The sequence below is a fragment of the Homo sapiens genome, chromosome 13, assembly GCF_000001405.40.
Source record: "Homo sapiens chromosome 13, GRCh38.p14 Primary Assembly".
Taxonomy (NCBI): Eukaryota; Metazoa; Chordata; class Mammalia; order Primates; family Hominidae; genus Homo; species Homo sapiens.
This window is the reverse complement of record NC_000013.11, coordinates 89039269-89059820: the sequence shown is the minus strand read 5'-3', so window position 1 is coordinate 89059820 and position 20552 is coordinate 89039269. Positions and strand designations below refer to the sequence as shown.

Here is a 20552-nt window from a genome sequence, read left to right as displayed (position 1 = left end):
ATGTAATAATATTCACAGACCTCAAATCCCAAGGTCAGCATTAAACAGATCATCAAGGAAGAAAACTTACAAATACTGGACTTAAACTCAGCACTTGGCCAATAAGACCTAAAAGACATCTGGAGGATGCTCCACCCATCAAACACAGAATATACATTCTTCCTGTCTGCACAGGGAACATACTCCAAGATCGCCACAAGCAAGTCTCAGTAAAGTAAAAAAAGTTGCAATCATACCAACCATACTTTTGTGCAACAGTGGAATAAACATAGACATCAATACCAAGATCTTTCAAAACCATTACATCTCACAACTATATGGAAATTAAACAACTTTCTCCTGAATGACTTTTGTGCTAACAATGAAATTAATACAAAAATAAAACAATTATTTGAAATAAATGAAAACACAGTCACAGCATACCAGCTGGGATCCAGCAAAAACAGTGTTAGAAAAAAGTTCATAGTGCTAAACACCTACCTTAAACGGTTACAAAGATCTCAAATAAATGATTTAACATCACACCTAGAGGGACTAAAAAAACCAGAACAAATTAACTGCAAAGCTAGCAGAAGAAAAGAGATAACAAAAATCAGAGTAGAATTAAATGATACTGAGACCCAGAAATCCATAAAAAGAATCAATGGAACCAAAACATGCTTCTTTTAAAAGATACACAAAATCAATTGACCACTAGTCAGATTAACAAGTAAAAGAGAATAACCAAGTAAGCACAATCAGAAATGACGTAAGTGTCATTACAACTGATCCCACAGAAATACAAAAGATCCTCAGTGACTACTATGAATAGCTTTATCACACAAACTACAAAATCTAGAAAAAATGGATAAATTCCTGGAAACACATAGTCTCTATTATTGAATTAGGAAGAAACTGAAATCATGAACAGACCAATATTGAGTTCTAAAATTGAAACAGTAATAAAAAATCAACCAATCAAAAAAAGCCCCAGACCAGATGGATTCACCATCAAAATGTACCAGCTATACTTTGTATAGCTGGTACCAATTCTACTGAAATTATTTCATAACATCAAGGAGAAGGGACTCCTCCCAAACTCATTATATGAAGCCAGCATCACCTTAATACTAAAACTTGGCAAAGACACAACAACAACAAAAAATTTAAAGGTAAATATCCCTGATGAACATAGAAACAAATATCCTCAACAAAATATTAACAAACTGAATCCAACAACACATCAAAAAGTTAATTTGTCACAATCAAGTAAGCTTCATTGCTGGGATGTGAGGTTATCTTAACATATGCAAATCAATAAATGTGACTCATTTCATGAACAAAATTAAAAACAAAATCCACATGATCATCTAAATAGATGCAGAAAAAGTTTTCAATAAAATTGAATACTCCTTCATGATAAGAACCTCAAGAAAATAATCATCAAGGGAACATACTTCAAAATAATACGAACCATCTATACTTCAAAAAAATACGAGCCATAGCCAACATTGTACGGAATGGAAAAAAACTGGAAGCATTCTCCTTGAAAACTGCAACAAGACAAGGATGCCCACTCTCACCACCCTTCTTCAACGCAGGATTGGAAGTGCTAGCCAGAGCTATCAGGCGAGAGAAAGAAATAAAAACATTCAAATAAGAAAAGAAGATGCCAAGCTATCTCCCTTTGCTGATGATATGATTCTATACCTATGACACCCTATGGACTCTGCCAAAAGCTCCTGGGACTGATTAACAACTGCAATAAAGTTTCAGAATACAAAACCAATATACGGTAATCAGTAACATTTCTACACACCAATAACATTCAAGTAGAGAGCCAAATCAGGAATGCAATCTCATTTACAACTGCCACAATTAAAATAAAACACTTAGGAATAAATCTAACCAAGGAAGTGAAAAATCTCTACAGAGAAATCTACAAAACACTGTTAAAAGAAATCACAGATGAAACAAACAAGTAGAAAAAAATTCCATGCTCAGGATTGGAAGAGTCAATATAATTGCAATGGTCATATTTCCCAAAGCTATATACAGATTCAATGTTATTCCTATTCAACTACCAATAACATTTTTCACAGAATTAGAAAATATATTATAAAATTCATATTGAAGCAAAAAAGAGCCCAAATAGCCAAACTATCTTAGCAAAAAGAACATAACTGGAGGTATCACATTACCTGACTTCAAACTATGCTATAAGGCTACAATAACCAAAACAGCATAGCACTGGTACAAAAGCCAACACATAGTTCAATGAAACAGAATAGAGAAACCAGAATAAAGCCATACACCTAAAGCCATCTTATCTTTGGCAAAGTCAATAAAAATAAGCTATAAGGAAAGGACTCCCTATTCAACAAATGGTGGTGAGATAGCTTGCTAGCTGGTTAGCTATATGCAAAAGAGTGAAACTGGACCCCTCCCTTTCACTATACACCAGATTGACTCAAGGCAGATCAAAGACTTAAATGTAAGACCTCAAACTATAGAATCCTAGAAGAAAACCTGGGAAACACTATTCTGGACATCAGCTTTAGGAGAGAATTTGTGACTAAGTTCTGAAATACAACTGCAACAAAAATAAGAATTAAACTAGCTCTGCCAAGCAAAAGAAACTATCAACAGAGTAAAGAGGCAACCTACAGAATGGGAGGATATATTTGCCAACTATGCATCCAACAAAATCCAATATCCAGCATGTATAAGGAACTTGACCAATTACACAAACAAAAACAACCCCATTAAAAAATGGGCCAAAGACATGAATGGATACTTCTCAAAAGAAGACATACAAGCAGGCAACATATAAAAAATGCTGGGCATTACTAATCATCAGAGGAATGGAAATGAAAACCACAGTAAGACACCACCTCACACCAATCAGAATTGCTATTATTAAAAAGTCAAAAACAACAGATGATTGTGAGACTGTAGAGTAAAGGGAACACTTATACATTGTTAGCGAGAATGTATAATAAATTAGTTCAGCTGTTGTGGAAAGCAATTTGGAGATTTCTCAAAGAACTTAAAACAGAGCTACTATTTATCCCAGGAATCCCATTACCGGCTATACATCTAAAAGAAAACAAATCCTTCTAACAAAAAGATACATATACTCACATGTTCATTGTAGCACTATTTGCAACAGCAAAGACATGGAACCAAACCAGGTGCCCATCTGTGGACTGGATAAAGAAAATGTACATATACTCACCCCATGAAATACAACACAGCCATAAAAACATGAAATCAAGCCTTTTGCAGAAACATAGATAAAACTGAAGGCCATTTTCCTAAGGAAATTAATGCAGAAACAGAAAACAAAATATCACATGTTTTCACTTATAAGTGTGAGCTAAACAATGGGTAGTCATGGACATAAAGATGGGAACAATAGAAATTGGGGATACTAAGGGAGAAGGAAAGGAGTGGGGGCAAGTGTTGAAAAACTATTGGGTACCATGCTCACTACCTGGATGACAGAATCATTTGTATCCCCAAACCATGGCATCACGCAATATACCCAAGTAATAAGCCTGCATATGTACCCCTCAAACATAAAACAAAAATTAAAAAATAAAAGAGGATAAAAAAAATGGGACCTGAGTCTTGGTATAGAAACCGTGTTCCTCCTATACCCTCTTGGCTGTAGAAATGCTTCTTATATTCCCAATTGGACAATGCCTTCACCTTGAAGTCCAATACAGGCTCTCAGGATCCTCCATAACACCTCTTCCACTGCTGCCAGAACAATAACCAAGGTCAAGTCACAATGTAGCATGTCAGAGTTATCCTGGGTTTGCACAGAAGGAAAGGAACTCTATTAAATGGTGCTGCAGAACCTTGTGTACAGGGAACAAGAGAGTATCAGTATCATAAGAATCCAAAGAGATCACATGAGATGGGATATAATCTTAAAATGGAGTACTTTTCAAAAGGTGGTCACTGGCCCAAGATACGTAAAGTAAACTCCAGATAAGAATTAATGTGCTATTATTATTTGGATCTTGGAAACATGGAAAAGCAATGGCCCCCACTAAGAAAAATAGAAATGCCTGACATGGCATTTGTGACCAGTCACGGCAGACGATAAAGGGGGTAAACAACAGGCTTAGAGAAGTAGACATCCTACATTGAATGTATCATATCCGGCCAGAACATGCATCAGCAATACATTCAGGAGGAGAACCTGGAGAACACGTTTTTAACTAACTGAAAAAGAACACGCTGGTGGGGCGTGGGCATTAGCATTGTTGAGAAGTTCAAAGATAATTGTCATCTGTAGACTAGGGCTAAGGAAGAGATAGTTTTATAACTGGGGTATATTCGAGCACTTGGTGATGATATAATCTCAAATTCATGGAGGTTAAGAGATAAGGTTTAACCATAAAAAGCAAAATAAGTTCAAAAATAGAAGTGAGCAACAAAGTCAGAGTGGCAGCCTGTTCCACAAAGAGAACAAGGTTGTTCAACAAAGAGCTTTGAAGATGGTTATTGGAATATGTAATATTTAGGGACAAGCAAAATCGACAGCCAGCAATTGTATTTCTCAAGTTAAGCAGCCAACAGAAATCAAGGATGGATTGTCAGGAATCTGAGAACAGACACCCTGATGAAATGCAATGCTTCTTAGCCTGATTTCTTGACCTTAGCCAGTTTTCAGACCCACAGCTTGTTGAGTAAAGGAAAAACCCGATTCCTATGACGAAAGACTCGGGAGCAACCATGGTAATATCTGGCAATTATTTCCCAAGTTCTTTCTCAAAGACATCCACAGCCATTTATTAAAACAATGGTAAAGGACATTTTCACACATTTAAAGGGCTATTGAAAACATCGTTCACCCTATGTTTATTCCCAGGGAGCCACAGAATTATCCCATTATATTCTCCTCTTCAGTTGATTGAGGACAAATAGGGGCTCTGTCATAAGGGAATAGCAGAACCAGATTCTTCTCATGGTGGGTCCACTCTACAATAGATTAATTCTTGGGACATATAATTAGAATTGTCCTATTTGATTATTAAGAGAAAATTTAAACTAAAAATCTCTAACATAGCCACCCCCTGAAACCCAGAAAAGATGCTCAATCTAAAATAATATCAGATCTCAGGGGAATGGCCTAGTTCAGTGTCACCTTAAGATTTAGAGCATGCTGAGGTGATGGTTCCTATGATATTACACATTAATTCATTATTTTTGACCTTTGAGAAAATAGACATGGCAGATAGTCTTTGACTGTTATACACTCAACCAAGTAATAGCCTCAATTTCAGTTCTCGACAGGATTTTTTTTTTCTCTCAAAAGAGAGTAACACAATTTTGTGCACATAATATATGGCTGTTGATTTGGCATGTATGTTCTTTCACACCAGGAAGGTCTTTTATATCCATGTCAAAAAGGAGCCTCAAAAGTAACTCACATTTACACAGAGCTACAATACAATTCTGAATTCAAATACAATTTTAAAATTAGAATACCATTTTGTCCTTATTCAAGAACTGTGGTGATTCTCCTGCCCTGTATTATAACATTCTGAAGAGACAATGTCTACTTTGATATCCTTGGCCCATTATATTGACAGCATCATATAAATAAGAACATATGTGCAAAAAGTAAAATTACATTGAAGGTTTTATTAGGACCCATGGTAAAGAAAGTGGAAGATAAATCCTATGAAAAGCTCGTAAACAGTAAAGGCCACTGCAACACATCCAAACAGCCATGCAAGCAGTCATACACTTGGACCATGTAATGCAGTTGGCTCTTTGGTACCAGGCTATCTGTGGTGGGACCAGACATTATGGTGGTACTTATGGAAAATCCCAAGGGGTTATTCACATTTCTTGGGTCTGGAATAATGTTGGAAAAGGAGCTTCCAGAGAGTTACTGGGCCTTGGTAGATACTGAATCATGAAACCACAAGTGATCATATAGCTAGCACTGCCAATCACGAAGCAATGCCATAATGTGCTGGTGTAACAGAAATCCACTGTAATATTAATGTGGAAAATTCAGTATTAGGCACAAGCAGGTCCAGAGGGCACAAATAAGCTGCATGAACTGGTGCCCAACAACATGCCATCCCGAAATTGTTACAATGATGTCCCTCTACTGCTCACATCTACTAGCATGTGGTATTTTCTTATAATGAGCTGAAAGAGGAGGGGTGGGATTCTCTGATGAGTCAGCACAGTTTGTGCTGAATTTGCAATTGTATTGCACTATAGACTTGCTCAGAGGTATAGTGAGGCTGTAATAATACAAAACAAAGGAGTTAGGCAAAATTACCCCAGTGGCCAGAGCTTTGAGTGTACCTGTATTCATTCATTCCAAGTAGAAAAAGAGCTGGCTTATGGTTAGAATACACATAGAGTCAAGGGTAGCCACAAATAGCTTGGATGGTTGGTTAGAAGCTATCAAGGACAGCCAGACGCGGTGGCTCACGCCTGTATTCCCAGCACTTTGGGAGGCCAAGGCGGGCGGATCACGAGGTCAGGAGATCGAGACCTTCCTGGCTAACACGGTGAAACCCCGTCTCTACTAAAAATACAAAAAATGAGCTGGGCATGGTGGCGGGCACCTGTAGTCCCAGCTACTCAGGAGGCAGAGGCAGGAGAATGGCATGAACCCGGGAGACGGAGCTTGCAGTGAGCCAAGATGGCACCACTGCACTCCAGCCCGGGTGACAGAGTAAGACTCCGTCTCAAAAAAAAAAAAAAAAAAAAAAGAAGCTAGTAAAGACAAAGATGAAAAGCTAAGGCATAAGGGGGCGTGTAAGAAAAAAAAAGTTTGTGAGTGGACTTAACAGAGTGGGTGCAAAGTGAGAGAACTTTGTATTTCATGTGAACTTACATCATGGATTACCTACCACGGAAGAGGTACTAAACAACAAAGTAGAATGAATGACTCAGCCAGTTTATATCAGTCAGTTTCAGTCATCTTATATTCATTACCCTAGATGAATTAAGTAGCTGATGACAGAGATTTGAAGCTATGAGTGGTTACAATAGCATAGATTTTTTTTCACCAAGGTGGATCTATCCACTGGGACTGCCAAAGTCCAACTTGCCAACCATGGAAAAAACTCTTGAAGAGAGAATCTAGTGTTGCTGGCGAGTTGATTGTGTCAAATGCTTTCCAGCACAAGGAAGCAGTGAATTCACAAGGAAGAGTGAATTATCTTGACTGGAATCAATACATACATTGCAGACATAGATTTCCTTTTCCTGTCAGTGCTGCTTTCTGAGAGCTGATAGTGTAAAACTTTAACACTATAAAGTTTTGTGAAAACTTTATATAGAACTCAGTCGCTTTTTAACTCATACTTCTTGAAGGATAAAGCTTATATGTTTATATATATATATATATATATATCAATTTAACTCCTCTCAATAGTATGTCTATTTATCTTTTTTATTTTTCTCTTCATTATTTCATACATATCAAAATTTACATCCAGAATTATTTTCTTTCTGCCTTAAAAACATCCTTTAGATTTATTTTTAATAATTGTTTCCAGTGGAAAATGCTATACTTTAACTTCTTTGGTCCTACTCAATTTTATTTTTGAAAACTAATATTTCTGGTTGAAAAGTATATTTTCTCTGCATTTTGAGTACATGGTGTTGATCATTCCTGGTGTCTGTTGTTGAGAAGTCCAACAACATTTTATATTCTGACTCTGAATATATTCCTCCCTTCCTCTCTTTCTCTTTACCTATTTATTTATTTTCTTAATTTTGCTTTTTGCCTTATAAAACTATTTCTGAATGTTTCTACATTTCTGTGTAGTCAGGACTTTCTGAGAAGATCTTGCAGAAAATAAAAATGACAGAAAAGATAATCAGAATTCCAGAGACATTTATTTCCCTCAATGTGTGTATTCACATTTCAAGGGTGATTGGAAATTGGGACCACAAAGATGTCTGTAGATTGTAAGGCTAGAGACACTGGTCTTATCTTCTGCTAGGAGATGTGTATTTACATTGCAAATGTTAAGGTCCCTAAATGTTTTCCCTTTCTATTCTGAAGGGGAATTTGTTTTAAGAGAAATCAAAACGTTTCTCTCCATTTATCAAGAGGGTTGGGGTTGGGGTGCACAGGTCTCTCTCTCTCTCTTACGTTAACACCCAGATTCAGATTTTGTTGACTCCTGGACTATCTTACAAACTCCAGTGTCTACAAGGTGACATCTCACCTGGCTCTCATATTCACCCCTGAAGGTGAATACTAAACATGAGGAATCAGCATGATTTTCTGCTAAAAGTCAAAAATTATCTGTTGTATTCCAAATACCAAATGTTTATGTTCGCATTCAAATAATGTAAAGAAACATAGATATTAAATATATACATTATAAATATAGATATTAAATATAGATGGTAAATTTACATGAAATTAGTATATAATATATTATATAATTAAAAATTCAGATAGGTAATATAACATAATATATGCATATAATTATAAAATAATTACTATATTATTATAAATTATGGCATATATACAATATATTGTAAATAAAACATAAATAATAGGTAAGTTATAAACAAATGAGCCAAATATGAAAAACAAATACAGCATTACAAAGTAAATATATAAGATAAAATACAGCTTAAATATAATATGAACAAAGATATTAAATATAACACCTATAGGTATATAAAATAAATATAAATATTAAAATACTTAACATTAACTTAATGTTAATAAACATAGATATTAAAATCAACTCTTGGATTTCTTTTTGCATATCTTAATTTTTTGTTGTATAACCTGAATGTTTTGTTATTGTATAATTTGAATGTTTTGATTGTTGTCTCACCATTTCTGAAAATGTTTCCAATGTTAATTTGACAATTAGGACTGTGTCCGTTTGTTATATTCTTCCTTTTGAGAACTCCAGTTAGGTTTATATTACATACATTACACATTATCCCTCCATATCTTTAGCTTCTGCTTCATATTTTCCATTTCTTTGATATCAGTGTTCCATTTGGAAACATTTCTTCAAATATATCTCCCAGTTTATTAATTCTCTCATCAGCTATAGTTAAACTGCCATGAAGCCTGTGTATTGATTTCCCATTTCAATTATTGAATATTTTATTTCTGAAAGTTCTAATAGCTCATTTCTCAAGTCTGACTAATGAGTCAATATATATTCTCTTTATTCTGTGTTTAAAAACATGTATTTTTTATTTTTGAAAATAGTAATTACACTTATTTTTCATTTTGTATTTTCAAAGACCAATAACTAAAGTAAATAATTGGCCTTTGAGAATATAAAATGAAACCCAGCAGCACTCATTCTGCTGGTTTTTTACTTATGACAGCTTATTTTCTCGTGTGCTTAATAAATTCTTATCCTGAGTTGTTAAATTTAATTGGAAACTTATTTGTGATATTAATTTGAGTTTGACAAGATGTAACGGCCTCCACAAAAAACTCATCATTACATATAATGATTAACTAATGCCTTTCCCAAGAATCAATTTCTCCTCATTTTTTGTTTAATAATTTTGGACCGCTATACATCTATGTAAAGAGTGGTCTATGATTAAAATTTTTCAGAAATGAGGTTTTGCTCTTTTCCCTTCTAATTTCTGATCAAGGCTAAGGTGAGTGATTTCCCTTAAATTTCCAAGAATATGGGTGAGGTTATTTTACATCATATTATTTTATGTTCACCCTTAATGTATCTATAGTTTTATAGAGGTAAATTCTCTTATTCAACTCATACAAGGTTGAAACTCGGGTTTTATTTTTGAATCCCAAATTCCATAAACTGATTGAAATACAAATCCCTTTTTTTAATTCTGCAATTATCTTATAGTCAAGCCCTCTGCAACGTCCTGTTTATTTCTCTCAGTTACCAATTTTTGTTAGATTTAGCCTGATAATACGGAAAATTTTAGTAAGCCTATTGAATTGACCATATTTTAAAATATCGTGAGCATTGTTCTCTTTCAAAGGATTCATCCAAGTGTACTTGTCCAAGTGTACTTAGTCAATAGTCTTCTAATCAATCACACCTTAATTAACCCAGAGTTTTTGCTTTGGTACCAAAGATGGACTTGAATATATTCTCGATCACCTGCTTTGGTCAACTGCCCCTTCTATTTGTGAACTTTCAATTTTAAAACACTAACCTTAAAACTAAATTTTTTACTATCCACTTTGAAAGCAATCATTTATCATTTATGTGAAATAAGAAAACAAAATCCTTTATATTGCATCAACCACCTTTGGCTCTCCTTTTGTCTTTCAACTTATATAACTCTATGGCTACTTTAACATTGCCAAGGTTTTTAATTTTTAGAATCTGTTCATTAAGTGCATTTCTCTTCAATTTTTTTTCTGTAGGTTGATTGAGAAGGTAAATAATCTTAATAACAATCGTGATATAAGTTTTATGTCACTATTTTTGTCTGTAGTATCATTTAATCATAAAGTAGAAACTTGCAGATTTAGGTTGCTTAGCCTATAAAGTATAAATTTAGATTTCAAGCCTTCAAGCTCTTGAATACAGAGCATATGCTTTTGACTTATAGCTTGATTAATTCATGTACTATGTGTGTATGAGTGCATGTTTTCTTTATCTGATAGGTCAATTAAAATACACTAAATAAGCTGTATTAATCACTTATATGTTAGACCCACAGAAAAGAAAATCAGTCATATGCACCTTAGATCTCTGTTCCTCTAAGGAAATTGTTCTAGAAAGCAATGTCAACTCAGTTTTCTTTTTGTAAATCATAACAGTTATTTAAATATTTTGTATTAGTTTACTTTTTTTAAAAAATATTTATTTATTTTACTTTAAGTTCTGGGATACAAGTGCAGGACGTGTAGGCTTGTTAAACAGGTATACATGTGCCATAGTGGATTGCTGCACCTATCAACCCACCATACAGGTTTTAAGCCCCACATTCATTAGCTATTTGTCCTAATGCTCTCTCCCCCCTCAGCCCTTATCCCCTGACTGGCCCTGGTGTGTGTTTCTCCCCATCATGTCCATGTGTTCTCATTGTTCAACTCGCAATTATGAGTGAGAATATGCGGCGTTTGGTGTTCTATTCCTGTGTTAGTTTGCTGAGGATGATGGCTTCCAACTTCATCCATGCCCCTGCAAAGGACATAATCTCATTTCTTTTTATGGTTGCATAGTATTCCATGGTGTACAGGTACTACATTTTCTTTATCCAGTCCACTGTTGATGAGAATTTGGGTTGGTTCCGTGTCTTTGCTATTGTAAATAGTGCTGCAATAAACATATGTGTCCATGTGTCTTTGTAGTAGAATGATTTATATTCCTTTAGGTATATACCCAGTAATGCAATTGCTGGGTCAAATGGTATTTCTGATTCTAGATCCTTGAGGAATCTCCACGTTGTCTTCCAATTTACATTACCACCAACAGTGTAAAAGCGTTTCTATTTCCCCACAGCCTCATCAGCATCTATTGTTTCTTGACTTTTTAATAATCACCATTCTGACTGGTGTGAGACAGTATCTCACTGTGGCTTTGATTTGCATTTAATTTGCTTTTGTATTTGAAATGAGCTTTTATAAGATGAATTTTGTTTAGCATGCAAACACATGCTACACGTGCAAACACAAAGTCTGCAAAATTTTCAACACCTGTGTTTTTCTCTAACAGAGAAAATATATGCCTACTTTCCCAAAACAATATAATTTTTGTCCTCCTAATCATTCATTTTCAAAAAAATATTTTTGGTGAGAAAATGTATTGATAACCCTGTGAATTCCTCTTGTAATACAAATCTGTTGTTGCACAGATGTTTACTGTATATTCCAGCTGAGGAGCCTATATTATTTCTCTGTTTCTTTCAAATAATCTTTAGAAAGTTGTACATATTCTTTACACAAGTGATGAACAACAGGAAAACTCTCTGAGTCCTTGATTTTCTCAGTGATATTTTTATGTTGTCTATTAGTTTAAACTTTTTATTTGGTATTTCAATAAGAAACCTGAGCACAAACAACCTGCCTTCAAAAAGGCTCTGCTACATTTTATTTTAGTGTTCAGTATTGCTCATAAGGCTGATCTTATTAAGATAATTTGTTTCTTGTTTGTTTGTTTTTTGTTTTTGTTTGTGGTTTTTATTTTGAGATGGAGTCTTGCTCTGTTGCACAGGCTGGAGTGCAGTGGCGTGGTCTCGGCTCACTGTAACCTGTGCCTCCCAGGTTCAAGCGATTCTCCTGCCTCAGCCTCCCGAGTAGCTGGGATTACAGGCATGCGGCATCACACCCAGCTAATTTTTTGGTATTTTTTAGGAGAGACAGGGTTTCACTATATTGGGCAGGCTGGTCTCGAACTCCTGACCTTGTGATCTGCCTGCCTCGGCCTCCCAAAGTGCTGGGATTACAGGCGTGAGACACCATGCCCCAGCCAAGATAAAAATTTTAAAGCTATTGTACATACCACGCAAATTTTTAGAATTATTTATTAGTGAAGTTGTGTAATTTATTTTGGATATGTTTTCCTGTGCACTTTCCATATTACATTCACCTAGCTGAAGACTAAATGAATGACTTTAGTATAATGTTATATTTTTATTCAATTGAGTGATATTTACAAACCTAAATGTTGTAACCTACTACACACCTAGGCTATATGGGGCAACCTATTGCTCCTAAGCTACAAAGCTGTAGAGCATGTTACTGTAGTCAATAATGTAGACAAATATAATAGTAAATACTTGTGTATCTAATCATAAAATAATTACAGGAAAAATACAATATTATATTACTCCATCATTATCCAAAACGTCATTGTGTGGCACATGACTATACATACTTTGATCCTTGAACAAAATTGATTCAAACGGGGTGGGTCCACTTATATGTAATTAAAATATATATATATATATATATATATATTTTATTAGGTAGTATCTATTTTATTAGGTACTACCATAAATCTATTTTATTAGTACTACCATAAAAATAACCAAATCTATAATAAAAAGTTAATATTTATCAAAGCACACATACTGTACATACGCTGCTTACAGTAGAAATGTAAACAAACATAAGTAGTAAGTCATTACTACTTAAAATTAACTGTAGTACAGACTGTAATACTGTAATAATTATGTAGCCACCTCTTGTTGCTATTGCAATGAGCTCAAAAGTTTCAAATATTCACTTAAAATGCTGTGTGATGCTATCTCTTTTTTCTCCAGTGAATTTGTGTATCACAGTAAAAAGTGATCTCACAGAGTTCTCGCCATGTTATAAATCATATTTAGTGCAATAAGTTAAATCTTAAATAACATTATGGGACCCTCATAAAATGTCACTAGTGATGCTGGAGGTTTTCCCAATAAGCCAATAAAAGTCATTGCATTGCAAGAAAAAGTTAAATTACTTGGTACGTACCATAGGTTGAGGTCTGCAGCTGCAGTTGACGGCCATGTCAAGATAAACGAACCCAGTGTAGGCACTATAGAAAGAAAAAAAATGTAAAGCCATCACTGTAGCTGTGCCAACCAGCACACAAACCTTGCAGTTTTTGCAAAATACCTTTTTATCTCATATTAAAATTGCAGCTTTTATGTGAGTACAGGATTGCTATAAGAAAGGCGTACTAACAGAATCTAAAATGAATTTTTTAAAAAGCAACATCATTATATGACATCTTAAAGCAAAAGGAAGGTAAAGCATATTAAGCTGGATAATTTAACACCAGTAAAGGATGGTTTGACAATTTTTAAAAAGGTTTGGCTTTAAAAATGTCAAGATTAGCAGGAAAAGCAGCTTTTACTGACGAAGAGGCAGGAGAAGAATTCCCAGAAGCCCAAGATAATTGAGGAGAAGAAATATCTGCTGAATAGGTTTTTAATTTAGACAAAAGTGCCCTATTCTGGAAAAAAAAATGCCACAAAGGACATTTATTAAGAAGGAAGAGAAGTGAGCACAAGAATTTAAGACATTTAGTAGATGAGCTCTATTGTTTTGTGCAAATGCAGTTGGGATTATAATCAGGACTGCCCTTATCTACAAAACTGCTAACTCTAGAGCCATGAAGGAAAAAGATAAACATCAGCTGCTAGCCTTTTTATTGTACAATATGAAGACCTGGGCAATAAGAAACTTTTTCTGAATTGTTTTCAGTGACGCTTTGTCCCTGAAGTGAGGAATTACTTTTTCAGTAAGGGACTGACTACTTTTAAAGTTCTTTTGATATTGGACAAAGCCTTGGCCGTTCAGAACCCCATGAGTTCAACACAGAAGGCTTCAAAATAGTCTACTTGCCCTTAAACACACATCCTTAATTCATCCTCTAAATCAGGGAATCTTAAAAACCTGTAAGACTCATTACACTTAATTCTTTGTAGCAATGACTGTCAAAACTGTAGAAGAGAACCCTGATACAGAGAACACCATGCAAGTCTAGAAGGATTACAACATTTAAGGTGCCAACATTGTTCCAGAAAAAGCAGTGAAAGCCATGAAGCATGAGACAATAAATCCCTGAAGAAGAAAACTGTGTACAGATATTGTGCACCCCTTCCCAGGATTTCCAACAGAACCAATCAAGAAAATCATAAAAGAGATTGTGGATATAGTGAAAAAGACGCAGGTGGTCAAGACTTTCAAGATAAGGATTTTGGAGAAAATCAAAAGTTAATGGAAATGAAAACAGAGGATTTAACAGGTGATGACTTGATGCAGATGAATGCTTCCAAATCAGGGCCAGATGATGAGGAAGAAGAGAATAAGAGGTAGAAGAAGCAGTGCCAGAAAACTAATTGATATTAGACAGTCTGTCAAAAGGGTTCCAACTATTCAGGACTGCTTTTGACAGTTTTTTTTTTTTTTTTTTTTTTTTTTTTTTTTTTTTTTTTTTACTACACGGACCCTTCTATGATAAAAGCACTGAAACTAAAGCAAACAGTGGAAGAAAGATTGCTACTATAATATACACAAGCATTTTTAGAGAAATAAGCAAAAATTCAGGCAGATATTACCGTGTATTTCTGTAAAGTTACACTGAGTGTGTCTGCCTCTTCCGCCTCCCCTTCCACCTCCTCCACTTCTTCTGTCTCTGCCACCCCAAGACAAGAGCAACTCCCCTTTTTCCTCTTCCTCCTCAGTCTACTCAGTGTGAAGATAACAAGGATCAAGATCTTTATTAAAATGATACACTTCCACTTGACCAATAGTAAGTATATTTTCTCTTGTGATTTTCTTAGTAACATTTTTTCTCTAGCTTACTTTATTACAAAATACAGCATATAATATACACAACACACAAAATATTTGTTATTCAGCTGTTTATGTTGTAGGTAATATTTCCAGTCAACAGTAGGCTATTAGTAGTTGTTTTGGAGAAGTCAAAAGTTATACACAGATTTTCGACTGGGCAGGGGGTCAGTGACCCTAACCCCCACATTCAAGGCTCAATTGTGTGTATATATACACAGAGCATAGTCCTCACCTAATGCCATGGATAGATTCTTGGAAATTGTGACTTCAAGCAAAATGATGCATAACGAAACCAACTTTACTATAGGCTAATTGATAACAGCAAGAGTCAAGTTCCTATCGCATATATCTGTCAGAAAAAGATAAAACACTTCTGATATAAAACATTAAAATGAATTTGAGCTATATGTACATTTAAGGAAAATTAATAAAAAGCAGGATAATGATATACCCAATTATTGCACTTCAGGTTCGTGGGTGGCTGGAGTCGATCCCAGCAGCTAAGGATGCAAGGCAGGAATTTAACCCCTAGCAGAACGCCATCCCATGGCAGGATGCACTTACAGACACCCACATTCACTCACACTGGGCAATTTGCACATGCCGATTAACCAAATACGCACCGCTTCGTGATGTGGGAGGAAACTGGAGTACTTGGAGAAGACCCACACAAACATGGGGAGAACGTGAGAACTTCACATAGACGGGGGACCCTATCAGGAATCATTTATTTTTCTCATCAATGTTATAAAGAAATGTTGCTAGTCAAAGACCTGACATATACATATATGGTTTATATACATACATACATAACTGTTTATCCATATATAAGTATATGGAAAACATAGACATGGAAAAACGTATGCATATATGTGGAATATACATATACACATACATTTATGCAAAACATATATATGTACATATATGGAAAACATACATATATAATGAAAATAAAATATATATCTTTTGTATATAAAATATAAGATAAAATATATATATAATAAATACATATAAAAATAAAAGATATATATGGAAAAAGAGTTCTGCTTTTTCTTTTCATCTCAATCTGCTTTTTACTTTTAAAAAGCAGCATTTCAATCTGCTTTTAATTTTAATCTCAATCATCTCAATTTCCTATTCTCAGCATAGATAATTTTTGTATTCAGAACGAAAACAAAGCAGTTATCTGAAAAATTACAAAAGCTGCTTTAAGGAATATGGAGTTCTTTATCTAATGATAGGTGATTATTTATGATTGGAAAGAGCTCTTTAATTTTTCTCAGAAATGGAATAAAAGAAGTCTACCGTGGGCTCCATGCACATTAAAGTAAACTCAAATAATTGCTTCTCCCACCTGCACAATACCCTTGGTCAGATATGTCATCTGACATGCTTAAGACATGTACAGTATTGATCGTTTCATATATTTTAAATAATAAACATAGTATTTTGTTCCAAGAACAGCGACTGAAAATACAGGAAAGAGCAGTGCACGCCATGAAGCATGAAACAATAAGTTCCTGAAGAGGAAAACTGTGTATCAAATAAGAACTCTCTACACAAATACAGTGGCTACTGTTTATGTGAGCTCTTGTTTCTCCCCATGTATGTGTGAGTCTTTCCCAGGTACTCCAGTTTCCTCCCACATCACAAAACTGTGCATATTCGGTTAACTGGCATGTGTAAATTGTGCCAATATGAGTGAATGTAGGTGTCTGTGAGCGCACCCTGCCATGGGTTGGCGTTCCCAGGGTGAAATTCCTGCCTTGCACCCTGAACTGCTGGGATAGGCCCCAGCTATTATAGATAGATATAGATAGATAGATAGATAGATAGATAGATAGATAGATAGATAGATAGATTCAATATAGTTATAGATCTGTCAGTCTATATCTACATCTATATCCATATCGATATCATTTCTGCTTGCAAATTCTACTCCCTCTATCTTAACTACTCGCCTCTCATCTCTGCCACTGCAACATGACATTAACCATAGATGTAACCCAGGGAATATCTCCATGTTCCTAAAACAAAAATTAAAAGCTCTGTTTATGAACATTGAGCTTTGAATTTCATATATTTTTATGTTGTGAAATCGTATTTAAATTTTTTTACAACTATTTAAAACTGCAAATGTATTCTTACCTCACCAGCTACACAAAAACTGGTGTTGGGCTGGATTGTCTGCTGGGACCAAACTTGTCAACCCCTACCATATATGAAGATAAGAGAAGGCTCATTCATGTAGAGGGCTGCTCGGGGTTTTTATTTTATTCTGTATGCCTAAACACACATGTCTCTGAACAAATCTGTCTTCTGATGGCATTTCTCACCAAGAATTTTGTGCATGTAGGGGAAGCAAGTATTTGGATTTACTTTAATGTGCGTGGAGCCCACAGCAGACTTTTTTTTCCCTCTCACTTCTGAGGCAGATTGAAGAGATGTTTCCAGTAATAAATAATTGCCTACATAAGGATTCCATATTTCCTAAGGTAGCTTTTTAATTTTTTCAGATAATTCCTTTGTGTTTTGTTCTGAATACAAAATTTATCTGTGATGATAATAGAAGATTCAGATGAAAATAAAAAGCAGAACTGTTTTTCCTCTAGACAGCCTGTGAATTACCTACCATGATTTTTTTTCCTTGCACAAGCAACTGTCCTTCTCTACCTCTTTTGAGCATAGGGACAAACAATCATCTTGGCTTCTGTCTCCTCTGGAATGTGTTTCAGGCTGTGGCTTCCAATGTGCGAACCAGTGTGTTTTGTGCTTTGAGAAATTCTCCAAAATATGTAAATATTTATACTTCTTTTACCATTATCCTCACAACACACAAACATGCACTCCATCTCCATACTATTATAGATTTTTCAATTATTATTCACAAAGATTTGGGGGAGGTAAACATGTATTTTCAGTTAACATTCTTAAAATGATATACCATGTTTATTATTTAAAATATACTTTATTAAATAATCAATGTTGAACATGTCTTAATCATTTCTGAAGCAAGTTTCTATATTTTATTCCTTAGTAATTTTTATTAGACAGTAGTAGCAAATTTAAATAATAATACTGATGATCTGAGAGCATATTAAACGCAAGACTAAGGCAAATCTGTTAGGAATTAGTGAAAAGATCGGTAGTATAATTGTGTAGCAGTTGTATTACTACCATTTTCAAAAGAAAAAAATATATACATAATTATACACATACATAATTTATTGATCATTCCTGATAACTCTGAAATATATTGTATCTGTATGGATATTCATCTATCAATCTGAAGTTATAATTACAGAAAAGTTACTTTTTTACATTTCCAACAGCCTTGAGATTGACTTCAGAGCTAATACTTTTAAAGAAAAGTATAAAATAATAATTCTATGCACAAATATAGTTGCCTTGTTTTTCTTTTGGTTTATTCTATTCTTTTATGCATAATTGCCAAGATTTATATAATACCAAACTAAATATATAGTTTTAGGCAAAAAATGGTTATCAATATTATAATTTTATATGTAAAATTATACATCATAATGACTTAAACTTCTTTCACAGAATAATACCTATAGACAAGAGTAGGCACTTCATTCATACAATATTTGTGAAACTTTCCTGGAAAAATACACACATATATATATACACACACATATGTATACATATACATATCCCGGTCATGTACATAGTTCTATATATATATATATTTTTTCCTTATATATGTGCATATATATGTATAAATATGTATATATGTATATACATATATACATATGTTGAGAGGATGTGTTTATATATATATGTGTGTGTAAATATATGTGTTTTACTGGAAAGTTTCTATATATATAGAAATAAAAATTTGTTATGCTTTACTGATGAAGTTTTATGCCATCATTATGAGTCATTGCAATTACACTAAAGGTGTTGCTGTCAATTGTGGGTTTTCTAATGCACAGAATTTCTTAGGACACAAAATCATTTTGCCAGTTGTGTAAATACTGAATTGTTTTTTAAGTTGCAGTAATTTTTTCATGTCATAAATGTTTGATGTATTATCGTCATCATTTGAATAGCTATCATGTAACATTATTTTTCTTAAATATTCTTCAATTTCAAAAATATGATGCAAATAATCCAGAAAAGGGATAATTAGAGTGCTATTGCATTATGCTATACTATTCTTGACAACAAAAGACCAATCTGTAGGTTTCCGACTAGAAAGCCATTATATTAAAATATAACCTCAGATCACACTGTCAGTCTCACTGTCTATGAGTGTTCACTTAATTTCTGGGTGTTCATCTTTTACTATTTCGATCTTAAGCATCTGTACAATCAGAAAACTTATCGTTGTATCTCTCAGCTCGAGATAGATATTCCAATTTTAGTCCAATTTGCTCTGATTCCTTCTTAGTTTTGGGCATACTTTTTTTCTTATGGATAACTAGTAATTTTCAAACTTTTTGGAGGCCAAAAACACCTTTGAAATTTAAGGAAAGGTATTTCCTTCCTGTCTTCTCAACAAAGTATCATTTAGAAATGACATAACAATATTTTAACAAGCCATAATTAGTAGATATATTAGTAAGTGTACATTAAAGGAACCAAAATCACGCTTTTTCTGAATAGGAAAATTTTAATATAAAATAATTAGTAATCAGAGATTCACTAATCATTTGAGTAAAGAGAACATTAAAGAATACAAGAAGAGCACATGTAGGAAGCAGCCCATTAGAGGACAGTTCTTCACATCCCAACCCTTGAGACTGAGGCCAAGAGCTCATGCAAGAGGGTGAGGCTGCTGTTTACTTAATGGCAGGGCGATATGCTAAGGTGTTGTAGGTTAGGACTGTCAGGAAGGAAATCTGTCACTGAGCTATTGGTGAAACTCAGTTAGAAGCTGTCCACTGCCTTGCTAGAAAACTTGGTAAGAATTACCCTCTGCAGTAAAGTAAAATTCACCAAGAAGCTCTCTAACTATGTGCTGGAGAAACTTACCAAAGGGCATTCATTACTGGGTCTCCTTCAGACAACTGAAAAGGAATCTTCCCACCAACAAGCAAGCTTTCTCCTGGTAGCCATATCCTATAAGCAAGAGTATATATGTGTAAGTGCTTCACATAGAAGAGGAGAGGGGCTCCTTCCTTTCTCAGTTATCCTTTGAACACTCTCTCCTGACAAAGTCTAATACTTGTTGAGCTGTCAAAAAGAGATGTTTACCAGATAGAGCTCCAATGTTACAAAGAAGGGCATTTAAGTGTACATTTAGAACAGGTAAGCCATCAATTTATAATTGGGACAGCCTATA

The 20552-nt window shown here is 34.4% G+C and overlaps 1 long non-coding RNA gene across 1 annotated transcript in view; it reads right to left on the bottom strand.

The window, feature by feature from the left end:
- LOC105370307 (uncharacterized) overlaps positions 1 to 20326 on the bottom strand; it is a 47998-nt gene extending 27672 nt beyond the window's left edge. The window contains exons 1-2 of the long non-coding RNA XR_001749951.2: positions 20243 to 20326; positions 13415 to 13478 (exon numbers count right to left, since the gene is read on the bottom strand). This is a non-coding gene — a long non-coding RNA (uncharacterized LOC105370307). The remainder of the gene's footprint in view (positions 1 to 13414; positions 13479 to 20242) is intronic.
- Positions 20327 to 20552: the final 226 nt, after the last annotated feature.